Raw genomic sequence first — 26,170 nt, 5'->3', positions numbered from 1 at the left:
TCTCAGGATGGTAAAGAAATAAGGAATAAAGGTGTGTTACATACATCAGCAATAGTATGATTCAGGTTAGCTTAAAATGCTGAACATCATTCATTCAATAATTCATTCACTAGCCCATATAAAACCCCTATATTTTAATAATTTCCACTGGAAAAAAGTCCTTAGAATCTTACACTTAGGAGAGATATTATTACTCAATAAGAAGTCCTTTGTAAGACCTTATTGTAGTCCCTGTTTTAACAAAAACACAAGTGGCAATCATTTACGAAGTCTTATTTTGCCCCAGGTACTGTGCTAAACACTCAACTTATCTTGCCTCATTTATCTTCTAGTCCAAGCCTGACAGGTAGGTAGAATTATCTGCATTACAGTAACAAATTTTTTTTCCTTTAAGTTCATTCATTCATTCAGCAAATATTTAAGGAACACATTTTATGTGCCAGATACAGAAAGTATAGAAGTAAATAAAACAAAAAGCAATAATACAAGTTTATATTATTTTAGTAACTTGGTGTCTCCTTTAGACTGGTGAGATCAAGGTAACATTTAAGATGAAGTCTGAAGGACAAAAAGGATGAACATTACAGATAGAACTAAAGGAGCTAGATCATAATGGGTAAGAAGGAGAATGTTATAGAAAGAAACTGAATATATAAGTAGGGCAAGATCATACAGGTCATTGTGAGCCTGGTGGAGGGATTTAAATGTTTAATTTATGATGAAGAATCACTAGAGAGTTATAAGCAGGGGAGTAAATGACAATTTATATTAAAAAATAACACTCTGGATGCTGTTTGTTGAATGAATTGTATGGAGGAAAATTAGGAAGTTCTTGAAATAATTCAAGCATTATATGATGGTGGTTTGTGTGTGGATAGCAATGGTAGAAAGAAAAGGAGAGAGAGAGAAACACACTCGGAGATGCTAATGATTGAATGTGTAGTGAGTAAAAGAGAAAAATAAAATAAAAAATAGCTTAGATTTTTGGCGTGATCACTGAATATGTGGTGATGCCGCCTCTAATTGACATGGGGAAGAATAAAGGAAGACCAGGTTGGGGTTGGGGGAGCAAGAGTTCTGTTTTAGCCTTGTGAATTTGGAAATCACTAATTTGCCCAAGATTACTCAAATGGTTGCTCTAGAATTTAAGACCAGTTTTATCTCATAATCAAAACCTGAGCTCTTGAGCTCCTGCGTTGCTGCTAATATCCAGTTCCTAGTTGAAGGTTCTCAGCTCTTAAAACTTCATTAACTCAATGGTCATCCTATTTTATCTGGGAAAAGCTTCAACTTCAGTGATATCTTCACATCATCACTAGAGAAATCTTCATAAATGAGTATATTTATACCATGTATCTTTTTTCACTAGTAAAGAACATTATCCAAAAAGCAATTGAAAGTGTGTAAAGGGGAAAGACATAAGTAGAATTTTAGTCTTGCCCAGCCTTAGTTAATATGAAATACAGGTGTCCTATTAAAATTACATTTTTCATTCTAATCAAAGTTTTACGTAAGGTTGTAATTATGAAAATAAAAAAAAAGTAAAGATGAAAACAGGGATGAATTTGTCCTTTCAGTGTGAAAATAAAGGGAGTAATTTCATTGGTGAGAACATATGTAAGTAGTCTCTGGGTTATAAATGACTTCAGGAATAATAAATTAGAAATGTTATTGTCTGGGCGCGGTGGCTCACGCCTGTAATCCCAGCACTTTGGGAGGCCGAGGAGGGCGGATCACGAGGTCAGGAGATCGAGACCATCCTGACTAACACGGTGAAACCCCGTCTCTACTAAAAATACAAAAAATTAGCCAGGAGTGGTGGTGGGCGCCTGTAGTCCCAGCTACTGGGGAGGCTGAGGCAGGAGAATGGCGTGAACCTGGGAGGCGGAAGTTGCAGTGATCCGAGATCGCGCCACTGCACTCCAGCCTGGGCGACAGAGCGAGACTCTGTCTCGAAAAAAAAAAGAAAAGAAAAGAAAGAAATATTCTTTAGATTAAACTAGCCGGAAAGAGGAGAAAAGTAGAAAGACAGATAGATAGAGTCTTTTAATGCTATAATCATGAAACTAATTAGTCTTATTTTTGTCTTTAGGAAAGGTGTGAAAAGATGGTTTTAATATGTTATTAGCTAAATCCTATAACTCCATTTTTCATAATTAATAGGACTTATTTTTTACTTCATATTCATGCCAAGGCTAATTTACTACTAAAACAGAAAATAGGAGGTTTATAAATACTTTGTTGCCATAAAATAAAGAAAGGAAAATACCTCTTAAGTGAAAAATTGTCACAATTTTAGAAAGAAAAAAAACAAACAAACATATATGTATGCCAGTACTGGCCTAGTTTCTGTTTATAGTTGTGATGAAAGAGTCTTTTGGATGTGCTTTTGAAAGGGGAAACTTTAAAACAGAAGTTCAGAACCCATACAGTTAACAAAACTCCAAGCATCACACTACATTGGAAAAAATCTTTCATGTAAGTAGAGATTGATTCTTAATTTCATTCTTTGTTTCTGGCCTAGATAACCGACTGTTGCACTGCCCAGTCCAAATGATTGCACAGTGTCCACACAGCTAAAAACAGTGCATTTTTTTCCAGTTCTGTCTGTTTTCATTAAAGGGCAATAATCAGGGCAGGGAAATACATTTCTATATGTGCAAAGGATGTTTATGAGCAAGGAGACTTCATTTCTGTGTGCCCTCATACACATGGCTCAAACTTGCAGAGATGCCTTGCAATTTTAATAATGCATTATGGCAGTTCTGGTGGCTGATTACTTAAGGGCCTTTGTAAAAGGATGACCTCAACCATCTTTTGTCACCTTCAGACACATCACTTCAATCTGTTTGAAAGCAGCTGATGTGGGTCAGCTATATAGCTCAAAGCCAAACGGACTGACATTAAGTGGGAATCTATTCAGAAAATATTTCACATGTGTGTATGTGCATGCATGCATATACAAGTATAAAATCTTTCCTTTGCTTATTGTTGACTTACTAGAAAGAGTATATTTTGGTAACTATACGACTATAATTTTGTTCACGCTGTATTTTGACCAGCTGAACAAAAATATTTATAAGCATTTTAAAAATAAACTTTTCATTACGGTATAGCATATACCTGGAAAAGTACACAAATCATTAATGTACAGCTTGATGAACTTTCACAAATTGAACATACCATGTATTAATAATCACATCCAGATCAATGGAACATTACTAGCCTCACTCACTCTGCCTCCCAATCAATAATCTTTCCTCCCTAAATATAATTACTATTTTGACTCCTGACAACTTAGAATAGCTTAGTTTCTCCAGTTTTTTAAATTTACATGGAGTCATACAGTATATATTCTTTTCTGCCTGCTTTTTTTACTCTCCTGTTTACAAGATCCATCAATGCTGTTTAATGACATAATAGATTTCTATTTTCATCTTAAGCCATTGATTAAAATGCTGTACACAATGGTTTTAAAAATTTATATGCCCCCAAACTGTCCCAAGAATGATAGCTTTTTAATTACCTCACCAACACTGGGAAATTGTCAATGCTATAAAGATACCAATCCAGTGGACAAAATGCAATGGCATATATTGGTTTATTTCTACTTTTTATTTATTTGCCATTCATATGTATTTTATAAATCATCTGTTAATGTACTTTACCTTTGTTTTGCTATTGTTATATAGTATGTTGTTAATTATTTATAATAATTTTGTATATTACGGATTCAATGATTTAACATTTCTTCTGAAAATATTTATTGTGTGTCTACTTTGTGTCAGGGAATGTGCAGGCCACTGGGAATAAAATATTCATTAAGGCAGCATCACTGCCCTCATGGAGCTTATATTGCAGCCCTTTTTCTGCTATACTGAGCATTCTTCGAGGTTAAATCTGAGATCTGTTTATTGGACTTGCGTAGGCGTTTATATCCTGTTTTCTCATAAATGTGAAATGCAGCGTTTAAATTACCTTGAACATATTAAGTGAATATTTAGAGTGTACATATCATTGAATTATCCATGGGCCCTCTAAGAAGTGGACAAATCAATGACCAAGATATTCTAGGGATGAGCATCCCTGATTCCTTCTCAACATACACATTCTCGTATGGCAGAAGTGACATTAAATTTTCTTTTTGTCTTCCATGAGCAGGCAAATTAGTTCTCCCATGTAGGGTACAGAAAATTTAAAATGTCCTCCCTTAATTTTATATTTTCCATACAAAGAAGATGAAATGTATAGTTTTGATGACTATAACTTAAAGTTATATTTATTCAATATTAAATGAACTGTGTGAGAAGCCTGTAAGGTTGGAGGCTAATAGAAGCCTCTGCATCCTCTAGCACAGTAAACAAATTAACCTATTTCTTTTGTGTATACTATTCTTTCAGCTGAATGTAGGGTTGACACCTGAGGAGTTAAAACCCTGACTGTAACATTAAAACTTGTTCCCAGTAAATTAACTAGGCTAAGGTTATAATATGAGAAGCAGGTCATTCCCATTGGCCAAAACCTTAATACATCCTGCATATTTCTATCATATCCTAATTCCACTGGTCTAGTAGGCTTGAGGTGCAAATTAATTAACATTGGAAGTTATGACCTAAATTTCACCGATATATTTCTCTGCCTGCCTTCCAAATGAAATCTAGCTGCCTCTTTAAAGCCTATACAGTTAGTTTTAGAAGTTATCTCTCACACTATCAACTTATTTCATGGATATTCATATGGTTTTTATTTACCTATGACATCCTCTGAGGCAAATATTGAGAAGAGGGATGCTAGATTAATGTGAAAGAAACTTACCTACACTTTGTTTATGTTCTTTCTTTATTAGAAAATTCTTTTGAAATGGACTTTATACATTTAAGAAATTCATAATGATTTAGCTTTGTTATTTTTCGTTATTTTCACTAATGAAAAGCCTATTGATTTATATATACATAGCACACTATTTTTATTCAGCTAGGAAACACATAGGTCTGGCTTTAATATCTGTATTCTATAATAAAAAATGATTTCATTATTGATGCTCTTGTACTTGTGTCCATTCAAAAAGAAAATGTGTTCTGATACTTTTTAAAGAATATAGTAACTACCAAAGACATACAGACTTAAGATATCATGCAGTTTCTTTGACCAAATTTGAAATAATGATCAAGAGAGGCATTTTCATTTATTATAAATGATCTAGTCCAGGCATCAGTAAACCATATGGCATAAGTCAAATTATAGCCCTTTGCCTCTTTTAGAATGGCCCATGAGCTGAGAATAATTTTAAAATGTTTAAATAGTTAAAATAATATTTTTGATATGAAAAACGATATGGAATTCAAAGTTGGGTATCCATTCATTTTTAATGTCAATTCAAATTGTGGATATCCATAAGTATTTAACATGTCCAATGGACCACTGCTGCACTCATCCATAAACTTCTTGTCTGTGGCTGATCTCTGATATTAACAAATAATTTAACTCTTTGAAATAGTCTTTTACATCCTATTCTGACTGACAAACAGAATCAGTCTTTGGCAGTATTATGAAGTTAGTTCTTATACTACTTTATGCCTTACCCCCTTGTGTGAGTATATTCCCACTACCTTCCCACCAGTAGTCCTTTCTGTAACCTCCCTATCCCACCAACAATGGGCTCAACTTTACACATTCTAGTACGGCAGAGGTGACATATTTATATTAAAATACAATCTCCTGACATTTCTACATATCAGTATGTCTACATATAGGTAGGTAAATATATGTGTGTGTGTGTGTGTTTTCATAGTAGATAAATATATATATATCATATGGGTATATATAGGCAAATATATATATGTAGTATATGTACCTATCTGTAGCTATATACACACACACACACATACGTATATACACATATTCTACTATTTGTGTAGATACATTTAGAAAATACATATGTATAGTCATTTGTGATACGTATTTATGTATACTAATACATCAATATACATTATATATGATACATATTTATCACAAGAATGCTTCCCCACAAAAGTATCTGTATTAGTCCATTTTCAAACTGCTATAAAGCATTGCCCAAGACTGTGTAATTTATAAAGAAAAGAAGTTTAATTGACTCACAGTTCACCGTGGCTGCGGAGTCTCAGGAAACTTATCATCATAGCAGAGAGCGAAGGAGAAGCAAGATACCTTATTCACAAGATGACAGGAAGGAGAATGAACACCGGAGGAACTACCAAACACTTATAAAATCAACAGATCTCATGAGAACTCACTCACTATCATGAGAACAGCATAGGGGAAACCACCCCATGATTCCATTATCTCCACCTGGTCTCTCCCTTGACACTTGGGGATTATGGGAATTAAAATTCAAAATGAGATTTGCATGGGGATACAAAGCCTAACCATATCATTTCACCCCCTGGCTCCCCCAAAATCTTATGTCCCTTTCACATTTCAAAACAAATCATGCTTTCTCAACAGTCTCCTAAAGTCTTAACTCATTCCATCCTTAGCCCAAAAGTCCAAGTCCAAAGTCTCATCTGAGACAAAGCAAGTGCCTTCTACTTACAAGCCTGTAAAATCAAAAGCAAGTCCGGTATTTGCTAGATACAATGGGAATAAAGGCATTGCATAAATACACCCATTCCAAATGGTAGAAGCTGGCTAAAACAAAGGGTCTACAAGCCCCATGCAAGACTGACATCCAGAGGGATGGTCAAATCATAAAGCTCTGAAATGATAACCTTTGACTCCATGTCTCACTCCCACAGCCTTGGGCAGCTCAACCCCTGTGGCTTTCCAGGACATAGCCCCCCTCCCAGCTGATTTCATGTGTTGGTGTTGATTGTCCAGATATAGAATCAACATTAATGTTTGTCAGTAGATGAATGGATAAAGAAAATGTGGGCCACTGGCGGATGCCTATATTCCCAGCATTTTGGGATGCTGAGGTGGGACGATCACTTGAGCTCAGGGATTGGAGACCAGCCTACACAATATAGCAAGAACTCATCTCTACTGAAAAACAAAAAAATTAGCTGGACTTGGTAACACAAGCCTGTAGTCTCAGCTACTCTGAAGGCACAGGCAGAAGGATGGCTCAAACCTGGGAGGTGGAAGCTACAGTGAGCTATGATTGCCCCATTGCACTTTTTCACAGGCAATAGAGACCCCGCCTTAAAAATAAAAAAGAAGCCCAGGCGTGGTGGCTCACACCTGTAATCCCAGCACTTTGGGAGGCCGAGGAACCCTGTCTCTACTAAGAATACAAAAAATTAGCCAGGCATGGTGGCTGGCACCTGTAGTCCCAGCTACTCAGGAGGCTGGGGCAGGAGAATGGTGTGAACCCGGGAGGCGGAGCTTGCAGTGAGCTGAGATCGCGCCACTGCACTCCAGCCTGGGCGACAGAGCGTGACTCTGTCTCAAAAAAAAATAAATAAATAAATAAAATAAAATAAATACATAAATAAAAAAGAAAATGTGGCATTCATATGCAGACACAGACACACACACATATGCAATGAAATACTATTTATGAAGAAAGAAATCCTGTTGTATGTAACAACATGAATGACTCAGGAAGACATTATGCTAAATGAAGGAATCCAGGAATAGAAAGAACAAACTACATGATTCTACTTATATATGAAATCTAAAAAAGATGAGTTTGTAGAAGCAGAAAGTAGAATGGTATTTGCCATGGGATGGGGATCGGGTGTGAAAATTAGAGAGATATTTCTCAAAAGGTAAAGAAGTTTCAGTTAGGCAGGATGAGTAAGTTCTGGAGATCTGATGTGCAGCATGGTGCCTGTAGTTACTAATACTATATTGTATGCTTGAAATATGCTGAGAGAGTAGATGCTCTCTCTCACATTTAATGCTCTCACATCTCACACACACACACACACACACAAATGTTAACATTGTGAGATGATGGATGTTAATTAGCTTGATTATGGTAGTGATTTCACAGGGTATACCTATATCAAAACATCACATCATATATCCTAAATATATACATTTTGTTAATTGTATACAATTTGTCAATTATACCTCAATAAAGCTGGAAAAAGTATTTTCCCCTTTAAAGATATTTTGACCTTCATCTGGTAATGTATTTGAAGACAAAAGGAATAGAACCTCTCTTCAAAAACACCTTTGATCACATCTGATGGTGTGTGAGTTTACTACTGTTATGTCAGGAAGCTCTGCAGTAGTCAGAATAGCAGCTGCCTAAAATAGTTTTGTTGGCACATTTTTCCCCAAATATTTACTGCATCTGACTTTTGGTAATTAAGGATAATGGCATGTTTTTCTTAATATTGTTTTTTATTATTAGAATACAATTTAGATTTCAAAGGAAAAAATAAAATGTTAGAGATCTGCCATACAAAAAAGGTTAAAAGTTACTAAAGATGTGGAGAAAGTGATTACTTGACTAACCCATTTTAGAGTTCACCCAAAGAGTGTTACACCTTCTGCCCATTTGCTACCATTCTATATATGACTTAGCTTTTTTGTTCTGTTTTACCAAAATATCTGAGCCTGGTTTATTTATAAATGATAGAAATTAATTTCTCACAGTTCTGGAGGATGGGAAGTCTTAAGATCAAGGAACTGGCAGTTTCAGTGTCTGTTGAAATCCTGGTCTCTGCTTTCACGATGAAACCTTGAATGCTGTGTTCACAGGTAGTGGAAGGAACAGAGGGGCAGAAGGGCATACCTAGTTTTTTCTAGCCCTTTCATAAGGTAATTAATTCCTTTCAGGGCCCTATCCTCGTGACTTCATCACCTCCCAAACACTGCCACCTCCTAATATTAGTACATTGGGGATTACGTTTCAACATAGGTATTTTCATAGACACATTCAGACCATAGAAATATGTGCCCATGATAATTGGAGGAAGTGAAATAAATTGCTTTTTCAGTTTTCAAAACACAGAAAAACTTGCTCTTGCATTGATATTACTAATCTGATAAAAACAATTTTCCTGCCTTCATTTACTCTTGTCTATTCATATTTTAAAAGTGTAGGTAAAAATAATTAGCAATAAATGTATTTTGATTTTAAATACTTCAAAAATAGTCTTTTATTTCAAAAGTAAAACAGGTTTGTTTTAAAAAAATTCAAACTATTGGAGAATCATGTCATATAAACAGAAGTTTTTTTCTCTGCCTCTGTCTCTACCTTCCAATGGGGTAACCACTATTAACAGTTGGGTATGTGTCCTTCCAGATCTATTTAAAGGGCATTATAAAAATAATATGTTATTCTGCATTTTGCTATTTTCATTTAACAATACATGATAATATGTCTTTCAATGACAAGTAGATGGATATAAAGCAATCTTCTCATAGGTGCCACGTATTTTATGCAGACATATTTTGCTTTATTTAGTCATTTTCATATTGAAGGACTTTTAGAATTTTCCTAGGGTTTTGTGTTCGCTAATTTAAGGTACGCCATAAGAAACACTCATATGTGCAAAAATTTTAAGATAACTATCTATGACAAATAATTGGTTGAAAGAATGTGCACCTGACATTGTGACAGACAAAATTGTGCTTCAAAGACTTTTCTAAGTTACATTCCTGTAATCAATGTATGAGATTGTTCATTATCTTATCTCAAAATGAAGTAAGACATTATCTGATCTCTGCATTGTGTATATCTATATTTTATTATTTAATCTTATGTGAAGATAGCATTGCATTTTGTTATTTTTTTCTGATTTAAAAGAAGATTCAATAACTTTTCTAATGTTTATTGGTTATTTGTATTTTTGCTTTCATGAATTGCTTACCTATATACTTTTTTTCAACTAGAAGTCTTGGGGAAGTTTGCTTTTTATTATTGATTCATATGAACCGTTTATATATGATTTGACTTATTGCTGAGCTGAAAATTTTCTCCAGCTATCACATATGTTAGAACATTGTTTGAAGTGTGTTTTCACCCACCATATTATTATGAACTGTTTCGATATTTTATAATGATATATTTTGCATCCTTGCTAGAAAGGACATACCTAACCAAAGATTCTAAAATAAACATTGTTTTACTTTCCTCGAATATTTTTATAGTTTTGTAAAAAAAAAAAAAAAACTCTTTAGCTCATTAATCCATACTGGATTTTCAAATATTGTCTTTAGATGGCTGATGCATATGTTCTAGATTTCACAAAAGTAAAAATAATGTTTTAGGTATATGGACATATCTGATTGTATTGAATTTTGAAATAGCCTTGAAGCTATGTAACTATTTCAAGAACATTTTTCTGCCCCAAATGTTTTATCAAAATCCACCCAAAAACCAAAGTGAAGAGCAAAATATATATCTCCCACTTTTTAAAAGACAGGAATGTACAAATGAACTCAATTAAATAACACAAACTATAAAATGAATATGCTAAGTAACCATCTAAGTTTTCATAGCTTTTTACACTTGTAAAAAGCAAGGAATAATATAAACGAAATCTGAACTACATCCATGGTTCGAAGGAAAAGTTACCTGTGAAGCATGCTTCTCTCTAGCTAAAATGATACAGTTAGTTTTAGCTTAAGGAATGTAGAACAAATGATGTTTCATTTTGGAAAAGACCTACCCTACAATAATACTAGATCTTTTAATCTAAGAAGCAGCTCACCAAGATATTGAAAATTTGCGCGGACCAAAAACAGCTATTAAACTTCAACAAACCTAGTTCTCCATTTTTCTGTTTTAAAAAGCAGAACCTTCTGCTATTTATGCACATAATAACCGGTATGAATGCATGCAAAGAAGGCCTTCCAGGGGGTTTATGTAATGAAATATTTTAGAAAACAGTTTTAGAAAGAGAAGTGTTAAGAATTGGAAGAGACTGTAGAGATTGTGTAGAATGCATTCAATCTTAAGTTCAAACTCTTCATTCTTTTTTTTTGAAAAATAATGTCCATTCCAGAAAAGAAATTTATTTTTAATAAAAGATTCATTATTATAAAGAGCCTTACCATGTCAGTGTGTTCTAAAATAAAGTATCTTAAAAATAATTTTAGGGAAAGTGTTAGAATATCCCCAATCAATCCATAGAATGAGAATATAAGAAAGATAGTACTAAGTTTTTTTTTTTTTATCTTTCTACAGAATGTAATTAAAAAGTGTAATCTGTGAAAACAGTATTACTTCAGCAGTTGGTATATGGAAATCCCTACTGCAATATTTCTAATTTGATGAGTGTCCAGATTAGATCATAAATTGGAAACATATGCAAACCATTAATTTGTTTTACATTATGATTTCTTAACATGCATGCTGTAATGCAACTGGGATATTTTATTTTCATATCTTCTAAGATTTCTAGGCAGCACCAGTTGTTTGTTGTTTCTGGAACTCCACTTTCTTTGAGGAATGGTTCTTCTCCTACTCTGTGGTTCTGATTTGGTTACTTGATACATAAGTTGGCCCATCACATTGTTCCACCCCTCTACCCACCCATAGTGATTGCTATAAGGAATTGACCCATGACCAACTAGGATTAGTAAGGGTATTTCAATCAGATTTGACACATGAAAGATGGGGAATTTTTGGTCTCTTTTTCTTTAGAATTGGTTAGCTGTAAGGTGAAAGGCAGGCTGGCTGGTGGTCATCTTTCTGATCACGTGAAGAAACTCTTATCTATAGCATGAGAGAATAAGAGCAACTGACAAGCTAGACCTGAAAATGTAGAAACAGAGTGAAAGTTCTATGGCATACTTTGGAGTCAAGGCAGTTTCAGGCTTAAATTTCTTCATTAGTAAGCAAATGATGTCTACTATTTTGCTCAAGTTAGTGTGAGTTCTATTTTTAGCATTTGTGAAATACATTCTAGCTTCTGTGAGTAGGAAAAAATATGAATAGGAAAAAATATAAACTCCTGTATATTCCAACATGATAAAACCAATATATGAATGAGAATGCCACTGTCAAAACCTCCACATTGTACAATTCCCTTTTTTCTTCATGGTGACTTCTTTTGATCAGTGACTTTTAGGACTCAATGAAGGTGTCAGTATCAATCAATCTTTCAACATTACTAAGGTTTAATAATTGACTTGCTTTTTAAATCAAGGTTTAGTGTTTTTCTTTCTGGTCACCAATGGATCATTGTGTACTTAGTCCTCTTTGAGAAGCATTGTTTTATAAGACAGTTCCTTGCAATCTCAGAATACCAAGACAGGTATTTCCCACATTTCCTTCGGATATTTTAAAGACGTTACTGAATGTTTCAATTGATTTGCTGTAAATGTATTCTAATTATTCACTGGAACAAATAAGGGGCTCCTAATAAATGAAATGTAAATATGTTTATATGAAATATGCCAATTAATATTTTGTTTTTTGTAAGAACACTTGTCAGAACAAACTAGTTAATTGTACAATTTGATAAAAATATTTGAACATTTATATAATCCTCCTATTCCACTAACTCGTTTTATGATTCAATTTTACATAATTGCATGCACAGTACTTGTCATAGTGGTTTTCACTGTAAGGATGATATTGGAAATGTTGACAATAGCTAGTTGTGGAAGCATCAGTAAAGAGTAAATGTTTTGGTATCCTTTCATTCTAGTCTTGCTGAACAATATATCTTGTTTAAGAGTAACAAATTTTACCTCATTTTCCACATCTAGGAAAGTTAAGGTCAATTGATTGTATCAAGACAAACAAATTCCTTCAAACAAAATGAGAATTTCCCTCAGTCTGTATTATCCTTAAATGACCCACTTGGCATAGTTAAAAAGTGTAAAATAGCTTGTATTGATAGGTCACAGGAATAGTGGTATTATATCTATATTACTTTCCTCACCAGTAAAGTCTCTCCAGTAAAGTCATTTATTCTCCAGTAGAGTCTCCAGTAAAGTCATTTATTCTCCAGTAAAGTCATTTAAAGAGCTCACTCACCAGCAGGTAGACATCTTTTATTTCTTTATTTTCACAGTGACTTTTCTGACATTAAAAGTATTATAGTAGCTGTTTTAGATGTGCCCATTGTAAGTCTTGAAATCCTGAAATCAAGGGGCCTCAGATGGCAATAAACTTTAAAAGATGGTCCCTATTTATGTTGTCACGGTAGCAGACATATCAAAACATCTTCTCAGACCCACTATTTTAACTGAGAGAAATAGTCACAAAGGGATCCTGGGTTTTTATTCTACAAGTGGTTATTAAAATGTAAGCATCCTTGAAACACAATGTGAAAAATGTTTGTTATTTCATGAGATTCTAATGTCACTATAGTGTAATTGATACTTGAGATGGAAGGCGCAAAAAGAAAGAATCGACTCTGATAGCATAAGCTACCTGAGAAATGGCAAAGATTTTCCCTAAAGGGCCAGGTGGTGAATATTTCGGATTTGACGACCATAGGACTTTGTAGCAACTATGGAGCTCTGCTATTGTATCCCAGCTAGCCTATAGACAGTACTAAATGAGTGGATGTGGCTGTGTTTCCATAAAACTTTATTTATAAAAGCAGGTGCTAGGTTGGATTTGGCCACAAGCTGCAGTTTGCACACCCCTGAGCAGTCCTGATGGAGACATTCCTGACTCCATTCTGTGTAATGAGAAGACAGCTTGTGAGGAAGAAGAAGAAGCTTAACTTAGGCTAAAACGCTTGAGATTGTTATTTGCCTTAAAAGCCTTCCCTTGTTACTTGGTGTTACAAGATGAGAACTCGGAGGCCTGACTTCCAGGAACTTACATTTTAGTGAGAGATATACAATATTTATATAAATAGTTACATTAAAATGAAGAAAATAAAGTCTGTCATGAGAGAGAAACAAGAAATAAATAAGAGGAAAAGACAAACTAAGCAGGGAATTAACATTTCAGAGTCTCTCCCCTAACTTGTCAGAGATGGAGGCTATACAGTGTAGTGAAATACGGTCCAGTAGAAATAAAGTGAAACAACAGATGAGAACCCCATATGTGATTTAAAATTTCTAGTAACCACAATGAAAAGAAAAAAGAAACAGATAAAATTAATTTAAATAATATATTTTATTTCAACTGTTGTAGGCCAAATATCTCAACATGTGATCAATATAAAATTATTGAGGTATTTATTTTCTAATACTAATGAAAAACATTGTGCATTTTATATTTATAGTTTTTCTAAATTTAAACTAGACACATTTCTATTTCTCAATAACTACGTATGAATAGTAATCATACTGTAGAGTACAAGTTTAGTGGCTAAGAACTTGGCTTCAGATTTAGCTATTCCTCAGTCTGAATCCCTAATTCCACTCCTTATTTAGCATATCCATGTATCAATTCTCTGGTATATAAAATGCAAATAAAAATAGTGCTTACCTGCATGTTTGCAAGAGTACTTAGCACAGTGTCTTGCACATGTAGAAAGTGCTCAAGTGGCATCTGATACTACTAAAAAGTTAATACCTTTCCTCATTCTCACATATTAGGTCTCTCTATATGTACAATTTTGCCCCATTTCAATTGTAAATATGACATGTGTGTTATATAATTACATACTTGCCAAACTAGATATATTCAAGGATTTTAGAAATGCTTATTTCAAAGAGACATTTTTCTATGGATACTTACTTCAGATTAATTTACAGCAAACAGTACAACAGTTAACAATAGTAAATTTCAGATAAAATCATTTGCCTCTAAATACTCTCATTGTTAAATAAAAATACTTCCCACCCTTTTTCCTCTTTTGGAAACAAGCTAAATGTTAAACCGTGGTGTCTTTTATAATTATCTACTGAAAAACACATGATTATGATAATTAAATGTCATTGTTTCTAATCTTAATTTAAAATAAAGTGACATTTTGCCCTGCTTCAGTAGACTCGTCTTTCTAAAAGACAATCCAAATTGAACAAGGGCTCATATGAGCAAAGATTAGGCTTCCCTAAGTCATAAAAACCAAAGTCTTTGGACACAGTTAATTTATAAGGTGTTTTTGAATTTGAGGATTATGTGGGCACTTTCTATCTTTACATGCCTTCTTTTGGGGCATTTAGTTTTTTACTATTGCCTAACACTGTAGTGCCTGGGTATGCATTTTGAACTGTAGGACTTTGCACAAACTACAGTGAGTTTGCGTATCACCACAGTGAGTTTGGGTAGCACATTGTTAAATGGTCTGTCCTGCCACCTGGAATTAAGGCATATATAGAAAGTCATACTGTAAAAGGCCATAGAGAATTTGCATGGTTTAATATTCAGAAATGAAAATCTGCGGAAGAAAAACTCGAAGGCTAAAATTCAAGAAAAAGAAGATTAAAAGAGTAAAACACTGAAGTAGAGAAAACAGAAGAAACAATGTTTATCAAAACCAAAGCCCTAGTATACATGGGTGAGTCTAAGCAGACGAGTCTCAATTACATTCAATACTTCAATAAAAATGGACAGCAGAATTCTGCAGCTTTGCTGTTGGAGATATTGCTGGGTTACATCAAAAACACTAGGAACTATGCCAAAGAATAAATTCAAATAACACTGTCCTGGATTGTCTGATCCAAAATCGCCAGCATATTTGCAGCAAGTAAGGAAATACTGGGTTAATAAAATGAATCTTGTGATGACAATTTTATTCTTAATGTGATTTCCTCTTTCATTTTTCCCAAAGGAGACAGCTCTGGAAGAGAATGCAAGATTTATAATCAGGTGCCTCACAAATATGGCAATATAAATTGTATCTTTTAAAAATATTGACATGCTAATATATATTTCCTCCTTGGTCTGGTGGGTTATTTACATTAATGTGGCTACAATTTAGAATATTCTGCAGACATCAGTTCAGAAACCACTATGATTCCCAACTTTTTTTTGAAAATTAATTCATGTTTGTCTATTTCTTGATCCATTCAGTCTATAGTCATCCATTCAATCAAAAATATTTATTGAGTGCCTACTGTGTACCAGGGATTATGGCTCAGTACTAGACAGACAAAGATAACAATACTTTCTGCATAGTATCTACAAGCAGGAAAATGTCTACATTATTACTGAATGATTATTTAAAATACAAGTCATTGGTTTTCCTAATTCTGTACAGACTTTTATTGTGAACTTGCTGTAGAGGATCAGGGTGTTTAAAGTCCTTCTACAGATTATCAAAACACATGTCATCCTGTATTTTCATTTTAAACACATACTTGTAAAAGCAGAAACTTTGGCTCAATAGTGTAAGCCAGAAAACTTGAGTGTCTAGCTTTGTTTTCAAAGGATTTGTTTTCTATTGGACATCTTCTTTATCCAAAAGTGTGCTGGACCTAAATTGTATAAGAACAACTGCTTTCTATACTCTATGTGCCAGTCTTTATTTGCATTTATGAAGCAGAAAACTAGATCATACTTTGCCATATTTGGCTTTCAGCTGTTGAGCTCTGAACAGCAAACCTTTTAATCATGCCAGATTATGCGATTGTTTTGTGACACAGATGTACAGTCACTAGGGATTAGGGCTTGTTTTTAAATTGTCATTCAGCCTTCTGTATGGAGATACAGCATTGCCTTCAGAAATCTAAATATGGATTTTTCTGAAAATACTAACAAATATGTTAGAAAAGGAAGACTTTTATTTCTCTGAATAGCTTCTTAGAATAAAAAAATACATAAACTAAAGCATTTATAAGTATGTCTTTACTATATTTCTTTTCTCTGGAAAAATATAACATCAACATATTGACACATTTTAAATGCATAGGCGGTTTTAAGAATAATCACTCACTTTGATGTATGCATAAGCTATTAGAAAAAAATTATGTACCTGCAACTTGATGTATCAGAAATTTAAGTAAAACATATCATTTAGTATCTGAAAATGTATTAGGCTTTTGATAACTGGGTCTCTATCCACTCATGGTCCTTGTCATTAATAGCCAAATGTATTATTGGCCAAATCAATTTATGTTTTTGTTTTTAGTTAACTTTTATTTTGTTTGTTTGTTTGTTTGTTTCTATTTGCCAGACTCCTGCAACATGGGGTATATTCCCCTGCACCAACCTCCCCATGGCCCCAAGCCAATGAATGACTAATAAAGGAACACAAAACAGCCCATATTCCTTGCCTTAAGACAAACTCTGAGATGCAATATATTCTACACAATTTCAATCAGGGTAAGCCTAGGCTGGAATTTTACCTAAAAATCACAACTTTGCTTGGTTTCTTAGCCTCCTTGTTGTGCCTCCCCACTCCCTTGCTCATTTCTCCAGGGAGCACTTCTTTGATAAATTAGTCAAATCCGTACTTTAGAATCTGTTTCTTGAGAATGCAACCTGAGAAAAATGTTATACCTTTGAAGTTCTTCAGCCTGAGTTTTGTTACTTATTTTTCTCTTCTCACACTTCCAGCTGTTATTTTGGTACTCTCAATCTGCCTTTTTTCACTAGCTTTATATAACACATTCTAGATTTTTTCATTTTGCTAGTTCTGACCTGCTGCAGACAGGTAAAGCAAACTTGGTAGCTTTTGCATAAAGTTAGAATATGCAGCTATGAGTGAGGACTTGAGGGGATTTTTGTAGGTACTTCTTTCTCAGCAGGAGTTTTATCTTTCAGAATTTTTCTGAGAAATGACTTCCAAATGAATGAGTGCTACATGAGGTGCTAACGAATGTGAAATGGTATAATAAAGTACCAAATTATGCCGTATAAAAAGAGAAGAAAGCAAACACCATAATAAGATGCTAATTGTGCCACTCACTCAATTGCCACACACTCTGATTGAGTGACACTCTGATTACAGAGCAAAACCCATCAAGTCCTATTCACCCTGATACCTCTAGTCCTCCAGTCCCCCCTTCATCAAGCCATTAATGTGAATCAACACATTTTTCAACAAGAGACCGCAGAAGTAAATCAACTTGGCCAAAGTTTTTATAATTTCAGGATTTGCGGGCACCTGGCTGCCTGCTGGGTTGAGAAATATTTGTATTCTAGGAATAAGCCTAAATTTGGAGAGTTTGATAATGTAGTACACATTTGCAATGTTTCTTTGGATGTCTGTCTTTTCACATGCTTCTACAGCAAAGCTTGGCTATCTGCGATATCAGCTCTATGACATCTGCTACAAAGCATGGGTTCAATACAGTGGGAGAAAATATGAAAATATGCATTCTCCAGGGTACTGCTAGGCCTGTGTAAATAAATTGGACTTGAAAATGCCTTGCTAGGTGTGTCACGGAGAAAACTTTATGTGATTTTCTTTTCCACAAAACTCAACAGGCTCCAAGGGATCTGTTTACAGAGAAAAAAAACATGGTTTATTTTGGAGCAAAACATATTAATTTTTATTTTTGTTCTCAATTTTTTTCTCTTATTTCCATTTTGTTAATCTATGGATTTAGGATCTACCATGTGGAAGGTGTGGCCAAGGTCATGGTATCAAGATATTCTTTCTTTTTATATACAGAGTGTAAATTCATGGTAAAAACAAGACTTTGAGAAAGAATCTGTAAATTAGTTAAGTGAACAGGCTATTCTCGTGCCTCTATGCAGTTCAAAAGGCTGTATTTAGCCACAAACAGCTAGTATGCTAATTACTGCTTGTTATTAAGTTATTAAAAATGCTTCGTTTGAAAACAACTCCAGACAGCTCCTTGTTTTGTAGCTCATTTTGACCTTCGATTTATATTAAATAAAATAAAAATTTCATTCCTCAGGAAACACTTTGCATCACTCTATTTAGTAATTCACACTGGCCTTCACAGACAGATTCTCATGCTTCAGTGGCATCCATGTGACCAAAGAGATGATACTCTCAGATGCTTATTATAATAGTGCTTATGACATTTTTGGTATTATAAACACATTGCTTCCTTTTTCTAGGAAAAGAGTATTGTGTCTTTAGTGAATGTTGTGGATTCATTGATATAAACATATAACAATGAAACAATACAAACTATAACGTGTCATGAATGCAATATTGTCATGTTGTAATGGTGGAGTCAAAAATAAGCTCATTCATAGCTGACTTTGTCCTCATTACTGGGGAAACAAACAAACAGAAGTCCCTTTAAGCCATTATTATTGTTATGTGTTTTGAATAAATCTGCTTTTCTGAAATTAATTACCTTTTAAGTATAAACTGATTCTTCATTCCATAGTTTTCTTGGAAAATGTACACCAATATCATTCTCACTGAATGATCATCTTTTTTCATAGCAATGGTGGAGTGGAATTGTGGTAGCTCTTTATAGTAGAATCTAGTGATACTTTATTATTGTAGAATATTTTGCCATTTTCAAAAGCATTTTGTATTCATTTAATTTATTGTAAATAAATGAGTACAGTGTTGGGAAATACATTTGTTCCAACCCTATGCTGGTATGTTTCAATTCACTAAACAGTAAATACCATGTAACACACATGGTTTCTCTTGTTTCCTTGCCTAACAGGAGCCTCAGAGCTAATCTTGTGCTTAATTGCTGAAATTATTTTTATTTAATATAGAAAAAGCGTTTCTATAAATCACTTAGTCTTGTTTTAATGGTCCAGTTGAGTATACATTTTTATAGTGAATTAAAGCAAGTGCTTTTTAGACTAATAATTGGGTAAACAATAAACAAATCCATCTATTGATGGCCTGTCAGTTAAAATGGGAAGACATTATTAAAGTCTCTTTACAGAGAAGAAAAGTAGTTAAACAATAAACTTTCTTTATTATCCAAATCTGATTTGCTCCTGAAAATATGTTGGATATTTCATTATTTTAAATATTAAAAAAAAGCTGTTCCTCATTCATAGAAAAACACCAAGCAATTTTTCCCAATTTAAACATTTTCAAACATCTATTTAACAAGCCACCAACAATTTTTACACAGTAGAAACCATTTAAAACAGCATTTACTTAAATATCTAATACTTAATGAACTCATTTATGGGTATGTTTTTGTGCAGCTTACAATAATATTGTTCAGTATTACATACAGATTATACTCTAACTCTGCAAGAAAAATGTTCCATAATGTAAATAAACAATGAGGAAATCACTTAGGTAAGATATTCAATTACCTTCAGGATGGAGCAGTTCTATTTCTTGAGAGCCATGGGGAGATGGAGGAGTTGTTGGCAGAGACCATGGTTTAGGGCCTCATAGAAAAATCCCTGGCAGGCCTAGAAAACAAAGGTACTTTTGAGTCTTGCTGCAGAGACTGTTTTCACTTCTTCCAATAAAGACTAAAAACTTATAGTAACTTTAAATAAGCTAGCTTTGCAGTTGCTATATAACAGAAGTAGCAACAACTATTCATAAACCAACATATCTGACAACAAGTTGATGAAAAACATTTAACTTTTTGACATGCTATCCATGAAGTTTAATGGTGGATCCTACTTATAAAAGATGTTATAGGGGACTGAATTTGCTCTTGATCCTTTTAGTATAAGGGCTTCAAGACTGCTGCTTTTGTTATACCTCCATCATCTACACAACTGTGAAGAAACAGACCAAAGTAGAATTCCTCAAAGCCTGGATTTTAAAAGAGAGAATGGACATTTCCTGAATGAAGTATATAGCACAGCCAGGAATTTAATTATGCATTGCTGGAGGCCACAGGTGGAGCAGCCAAAGACTCCACCATCTGGAAAAGGATGAGGATTGGAGTGGCTTGTATCCACATCACACAGCTGGCCACTGGGCTGCTCACACCACTGAACTGGCAAGCGGACATGAGCTGTCCTCGCTCCCACCCAACCTCCCTGCTGTGTTCCTGGCAGGCTCATTTGGCAGGCTCCTGGCCACCTGCTATTTTCCCTGGAGTCTGGAAATCTTCTTTTAAAATAAGCAGATCATTATTTGGCGTTTTTTTTGTTTGTTTGTTTGTTTTGTTTTTTTTTTTTTTTTGATATGGAGAACAAATTCTTCTTTACCAAAGTGAATACACTCCTTTATTGATATACAATTCCATCTGAGCTATTTATTTTTCTCAAGTGAGAATACTGGGAGGATATTTTAGTTCTCAGAACAAAAGTATGAATGAGTGTAAGATGTATATAAGAACTTTTGCTTGCATTTTGATGTTGTTAGTATTTGTTTCTGTGGATGTTTACTACCTATTTAGCCTTCTTTTAGATAAGTTTCCTTTGGAATTAAGTGTGATAACTCTCAAAGAAGTTCTGAATTTATTAGTTATCATAGCTGTCTATAAGCTACCTACTTATTCATTCATAACTGAGAGACTATTAAAAATACAAAATAGGCTGGGCATGGTGGCTCACACCTGCAATCCCAGCACTTTGGAAGGCAGAGGTGGGTGGATCACATGGGGCCTGGAGTTCGAGACCAGCCTGGGCAACATAGTGAAGCCCCTTCTCTACTAAAAATACAAAAATTAGCTGGGCATGATGCCACACGCCTGTAATCTCAGCTACTCAGGAGGCTGAGGCCAGAGAATCACTTGAACCCAGGAGGTGGAGGTTGCAGTGAGCCGAGATTGTGTCCCTGCACTCCAGCCTGGGCAACAGAATGAGACTCTGTCTCAAAATAAATAAATACATATATACATACATACATGCATACATACAGACATACATACAAAATAGTTTTATAATTATAAAACCCCAACAAACTAGTTCATGGAAGCTGTACTTCTATGACTATACAATATCTTATTGCTTAGGCAAAAGTCCTTATGATATGTGGTTTCAAACTTACAGCTTCTGATAAATAGCTGCATCTGATAACGATGAAAAGACTTGAACAAAAGACCTTTGTACTTTTAAAATACTGTTACTAGTGTTGCTTTTGATGCCTAGCTTTGTTAAGATACAAGCCATTTGTGGCCTTGACCAATTCTTGGTTTGACTTTTGCAGAGACCCCCACATGTCCAATTTCATGACTGCATTAAGATCACTAAGCTGTAATCTTTGAGTGACTGTTCCTCTCTATTAATAGCTCTTTCTTCACTTCGGCACTTCTGATTGCATTTCTGGTTAACAAACTCCATTCCAAGAAGTGCAGTTGATTTTGAGGACTTGCAAACTGCTGCAATTGAAGATTCATATTTTTACTTTTCAGCCTTTTTCTCTATTAAGCTGTGTGGACCAAAGCTAGTAGATGCCTTACCCCATGCTTAGAAATTAAATTGGTCCCCAGGCACACCCTTTCATGCCTCGAGGAGGGAATATTACTCATCTTATGTCAACCTCTCTACTGTAAATTCAACCCCGTGAAGAATATCTTTGTATTTTTCTCATAGTTTTATCATTGAATCATTGCTTTCAGTTACTAATTATAAAGAATTGATAGATACCTTTGCATCTTGCCAGTATAGATAGACGTATTTGTCTTTTTTAAAGCATATAAACATGAGATGTATAGCCATGGAACACAGGGGACCCGCACTGGAGCCTGGCTTGTTTACCGGGTGCCTGGATAAGACAGGCATGCTCAGTCCCCTTTATCAATCCAGCTGTCCTGAAAAGAGCAGAACTTGCTTTGTTTCAAAGTTGTAATTAATGGGTCATTTGAACTATACTATCAGACTGTGCATATACTTATAAAGATAATGATGTATATTATGTATTCATCAAAGAAAGTGCTACAGTTTTATGCTAAAGGCATTGATATCATACATTGTTGAGAATAAATAAAATATTTGCAATGACTTTACAAGCTAGGTCTTAAATGTACTACAAAATACAGTTGGATTCTCTTGTTTATTATCCAGCACTAAAGCCTACAGAGAAAATTTAAAACAATCTATATAGCAATTAGATAAAAGCCATCGTTGGCTGGTTCATGCATCTATTATAGAATATTCTCTACTAAGAATTGATTTTTCTTATGATATCACTAGAGAAAAAAGTCAATATATTTGTTAAGAAGCATCCAACTGAAACACTAGCCTAAGATTTGGTAAAAAGTGAACACTTATTTTATTTACAGTTATAAAAAAAGAAACAACTTTCAAAATCAGGTCAAATATGTTTAGTCAGTTTTATTGAATAGACTAAGTCACTTGATTGTGATAACTGGAACCCTGTGGCCAAGAAAATTTGTGGCAAATCCTCTTCTACTGTGCAGAAACTCTACCTCAGTATTTTAATATGCACCTCTGTATCATATATTAGGTATGAAAAAAGGAAAATGGCAAATTTCAAATTTCAGTGTTCAAAAAAATAGTTATAATATCCTTCCCTCTCAAGTATATGCTATCATTAGGACCTTACCAAAAGTTACAGTAAAAAGTTCCATTAGCCTTTCTGTTTCTTTGTGATGTGTATTCAATGCAGAATTTTAGTTTTACATGTATTCACAGTGTGCATTTGTGCAAAATGATACACAAAAAGATACACAAATTCCGTTTTTAAAAAAGCAATGTGTTTTACCTTTATGCAAAAGTATCCCATTTTAGCTAGTATCTTTATGTTTAATTGGTCAAATATCTATTTGTCATCATCAGCTATTATTATCTGGTTGCCAGAATTTGTACAAACATGAAAACAGATGCACAGGCAATGTGACAATACAACTCTAGGGTTTCCCCCGCTGTGATCCTACTTTCCTAGTTTCTGCCTCAGTCTTTGGGCCATTGTAATGTAGTTTATAGGTGAAATTGTGGTAGTAAATCATATATTATATCGTTTTCTATTACATTAAGTATTAGTTGTTTCCATGAAGAAAAATCCTGTTCACTTTATGTATTATAACCACAAGTAATTTTTGTACACTCACTATTGGTATAATAGTATAACTGCTACAGACACTATCAAGTATAAGACTATAGACTAAAACTCATTCTTTAAACCCTGAGAAATTAATTGTATTTTGAAAATTAGTAGAATTTCCAGGCTGCAAAGGGCACCTTTGTGTCAGAAACACTTTCAATGATTTGGAGGGAGGTATCATCTTAATAAAGTCATTTGTTTAGAAAACCTATCCAGATCATTCAGAGATGGAATGAGTGAAAGATAGGTACTAGATGGAAAAAGTTGAGCTCAACATACACTAAACAAACAAACAAGCAAATGAAACTACATTTAAGATGATATTATGTATTTCTGTCTCACAATTCCCACATCTAATACTGGGTGGCATCCACTTAACTTCACATGATTATGTGCTATTTTTATATCATTGAAAGGGGTTTTTTCTCACCTATCTTAAGTGATAGATATGAAGCCTGAGCTCAAGAGGATTGTTGATGGATAACAGTGGAGTAATTGATTTCCTAGAGCCAATATTGACTATTTATGCTCATGAATATCCATTCTGATCGTGATGGAGTTAAGCAGATTGTCAGGTAATGACTGTGAATTTACTCATAGAATTACTTAATAGGTCCTCTTCAAATGAAATCTTACGTTTTAAAGAAAATAACTGGTTCAGACATCATTTCAAATTTATACACCACATCTCCAGTGCCATTTCACACATGAAAAATCAGTAATAGAGCAGTCTTGGGGAGTATTCTTTCATACAGATTTTAACTTGGAATCTATTTCTTGGACAGTTTTTGAAATAGGATATAAAGCTATCTTTCTAGAATAGTTGAGATGGAGCTCTGATGGACTAGATAATCCCTATGTTTTCCACGCTAAGCTTTTCATATTGCGATCTCTCTTCTAAAGCTATTTAGGAAACTCATTAACTTAAGCCTTGGCTGCTGTAATTACACAATTGTGAAATAGTGCGCCTTATATACGCTGTTCTATATATTGTAAACAAGACTTCACTTTAGCAAACAACTAAGAATGTGTAGCTATTACTGTAAAATACCAGTTCCAGAAGAAGGCAAGTGCAAGCGTAAATGAAAAGTACAACTAGGCATCCCCTTAGTGCAGATTTACTGTAAAGTGTATTTGCAAGCAGTTTGACTTAGTGGAGGATTAAAGCAAGAAAGAATCTCTAAACCAAATGTGAAGATTTGAAGGCAATGAACCACGTTGATAATTTTGAAGGCAATGAACCATGAACCATGATAATTTTGGCAAAATAAAATCTAAGCTGTATACTTTAGAAAATTACGTTAAATATGAGTTGGCTAATTATAAATAGCTCATTACTTAGCAAAGACCACAGAAGAAAAAGTGCTTTCCTATGTAGAGAGAACCTTAAATGTCTTTTCAATATGTGCTCCTTTTAAATAATATGTAGTTTAGACTATGAAATTGATTTTGCTCTTTTATAACACCCACGAACGCCATTTCACTTCTAACTATAGGTATCATCACTGTAATATTATAACACGGGTACTTTTGTGTTTTTTTTTATTTTGAAAAATCCAGCATGTTGATTTTATTACCTATTCTTTTTTTTTAAATAGTGAAAGCAAGGAGTTCATTGTTAACAGAAGCCATGCTAATTGACATTTACATAGGATATCCATGATGATTCATATTCTCCTACAATTTAAGCTGCTTCCTAGAAATTTGACAGCTAAGATAGCAGCTGGTTAACTTTTTCATTTGACTAAAAGCTGGTGTAATGTTCTTTGGAATTAAATATGTCAATGTTGGGAATTCAAGTTGCAGCACCTGGAAGTGAAAGCACATTGCAGTGGTTCAACCCTGCCTTTGGTATCAGAGAGAATTGGTTTCAAATCTTGACCCCAGTACTTTCTGGTGAAATGATCTTGAGCAAGTTTATTTTGATTTTTGATTAAAATACATACATTTTCTTTGGGGCTTGGCTTGCAGAGAAGTTTTAAATATGTTAGGAGTATTTTATGAAACCTAATAGCAATAGTCAGACCTTTTATGGGGAACTTAGAAGACACTAGACTACTGTGGTCCATCTGTTTCATTCTTCTTTCTACAGACCAATTTGCTCTATTTTACAAAACATATGGAAGGTAGGAAAAGATCACTGGAAGTGAGTAAGAGTGGGTGATTAACAGTTCATCATGACCTGGGAAAGAACGTCAAAAATTATCTACTACACATAACTAGAGTATCCTCATTTAGTAAATAGGGATAATAGTATCCTCCCTTTCAGGCTGCTGTGAGGATTAGTAATTATGTGCATGGCATGTTTCTGATTAGTAATTATGTGTATGGAACATTTCAGAGCCAGCAAATATTAGGTGCTTAATGAATGATAGCTTTATTATCATTCTTATTTTTTGCTAGGAAATATAAGAGCATCTAATCATTGCACAATATAGCCTTCGAATCAACTGACTTCTTGATTTGTTGAATTCTTGATTTGCTGAAGTCTAATA

The 26,170-nt window shown here is 34.1% G+C and overlaps 1 protein-coding gene, 2 long non-coding RNA genes and 1 pseudogene across 16 annotated transcripts in view; 2 read left to right on the top strand and 2 right to left on the bottom strand.

The window, feature by feature from the left end:
- Positions 1-26,170, top strand: part of LINGO2 (leucine rich repeat and Ig domain containing 2) — a 1,275,985-nt gene that overhangs the window by 594,334 nt on the left and 655,481 nt on the right. The gene's annotated exons all lie outside the window — the stretch shown is intronic.
- LOC124902136 (uncharacterized) lies at positions 18,154-22,338 on the bottom strand. The gene is made up of 3 exons (XR_007061443.1): positions 22,259-22,338; positions 20,018-20,119; positions 18,154-18,241 (listed from the first exon to the last, which is right to left on the bottom strand). It is a non-coding gene; the product is annotated as an uncharacterized LOC124902136 (long non-coding RNA).
- On the top strand, positions 19,988-20,604 carry KCTD10P1 (potassium channel tetramerization domain containing 10 pseudogene 1; annotated as a pseudogene).
- The window catches only part of LOC105376004 (uncharacterized), a 57,191-nt gene continuing 53,359 nt past the window's right edge, over positions 22,339-26,170 (bottom strand). The window contains exon 6 of the long non-coding RNA XR_001746641.2: positions 22,339-22,422. This is a non-coding gene — a long non-coding RNA (uncharacterized LOC105376004). The remainder of the gene's footprint in view (positions 22,423-26,170) is intronic.

Source organism: Homo sapiens, chromosome 9, assembly GCF_000001405.40.
Source record: "Homo sapiens chromosome 9, GRCh38.p14 Primary Assembly".
NCBI classification, from domain to species: Eukaryota; Metazoa; Chordata; class Mammalia; order Primates; family Hominidae; genus Homo; species Homo sapiens.
This window is presented reverse-complemented; position numbering and strand designations above follow the sequence as displayed.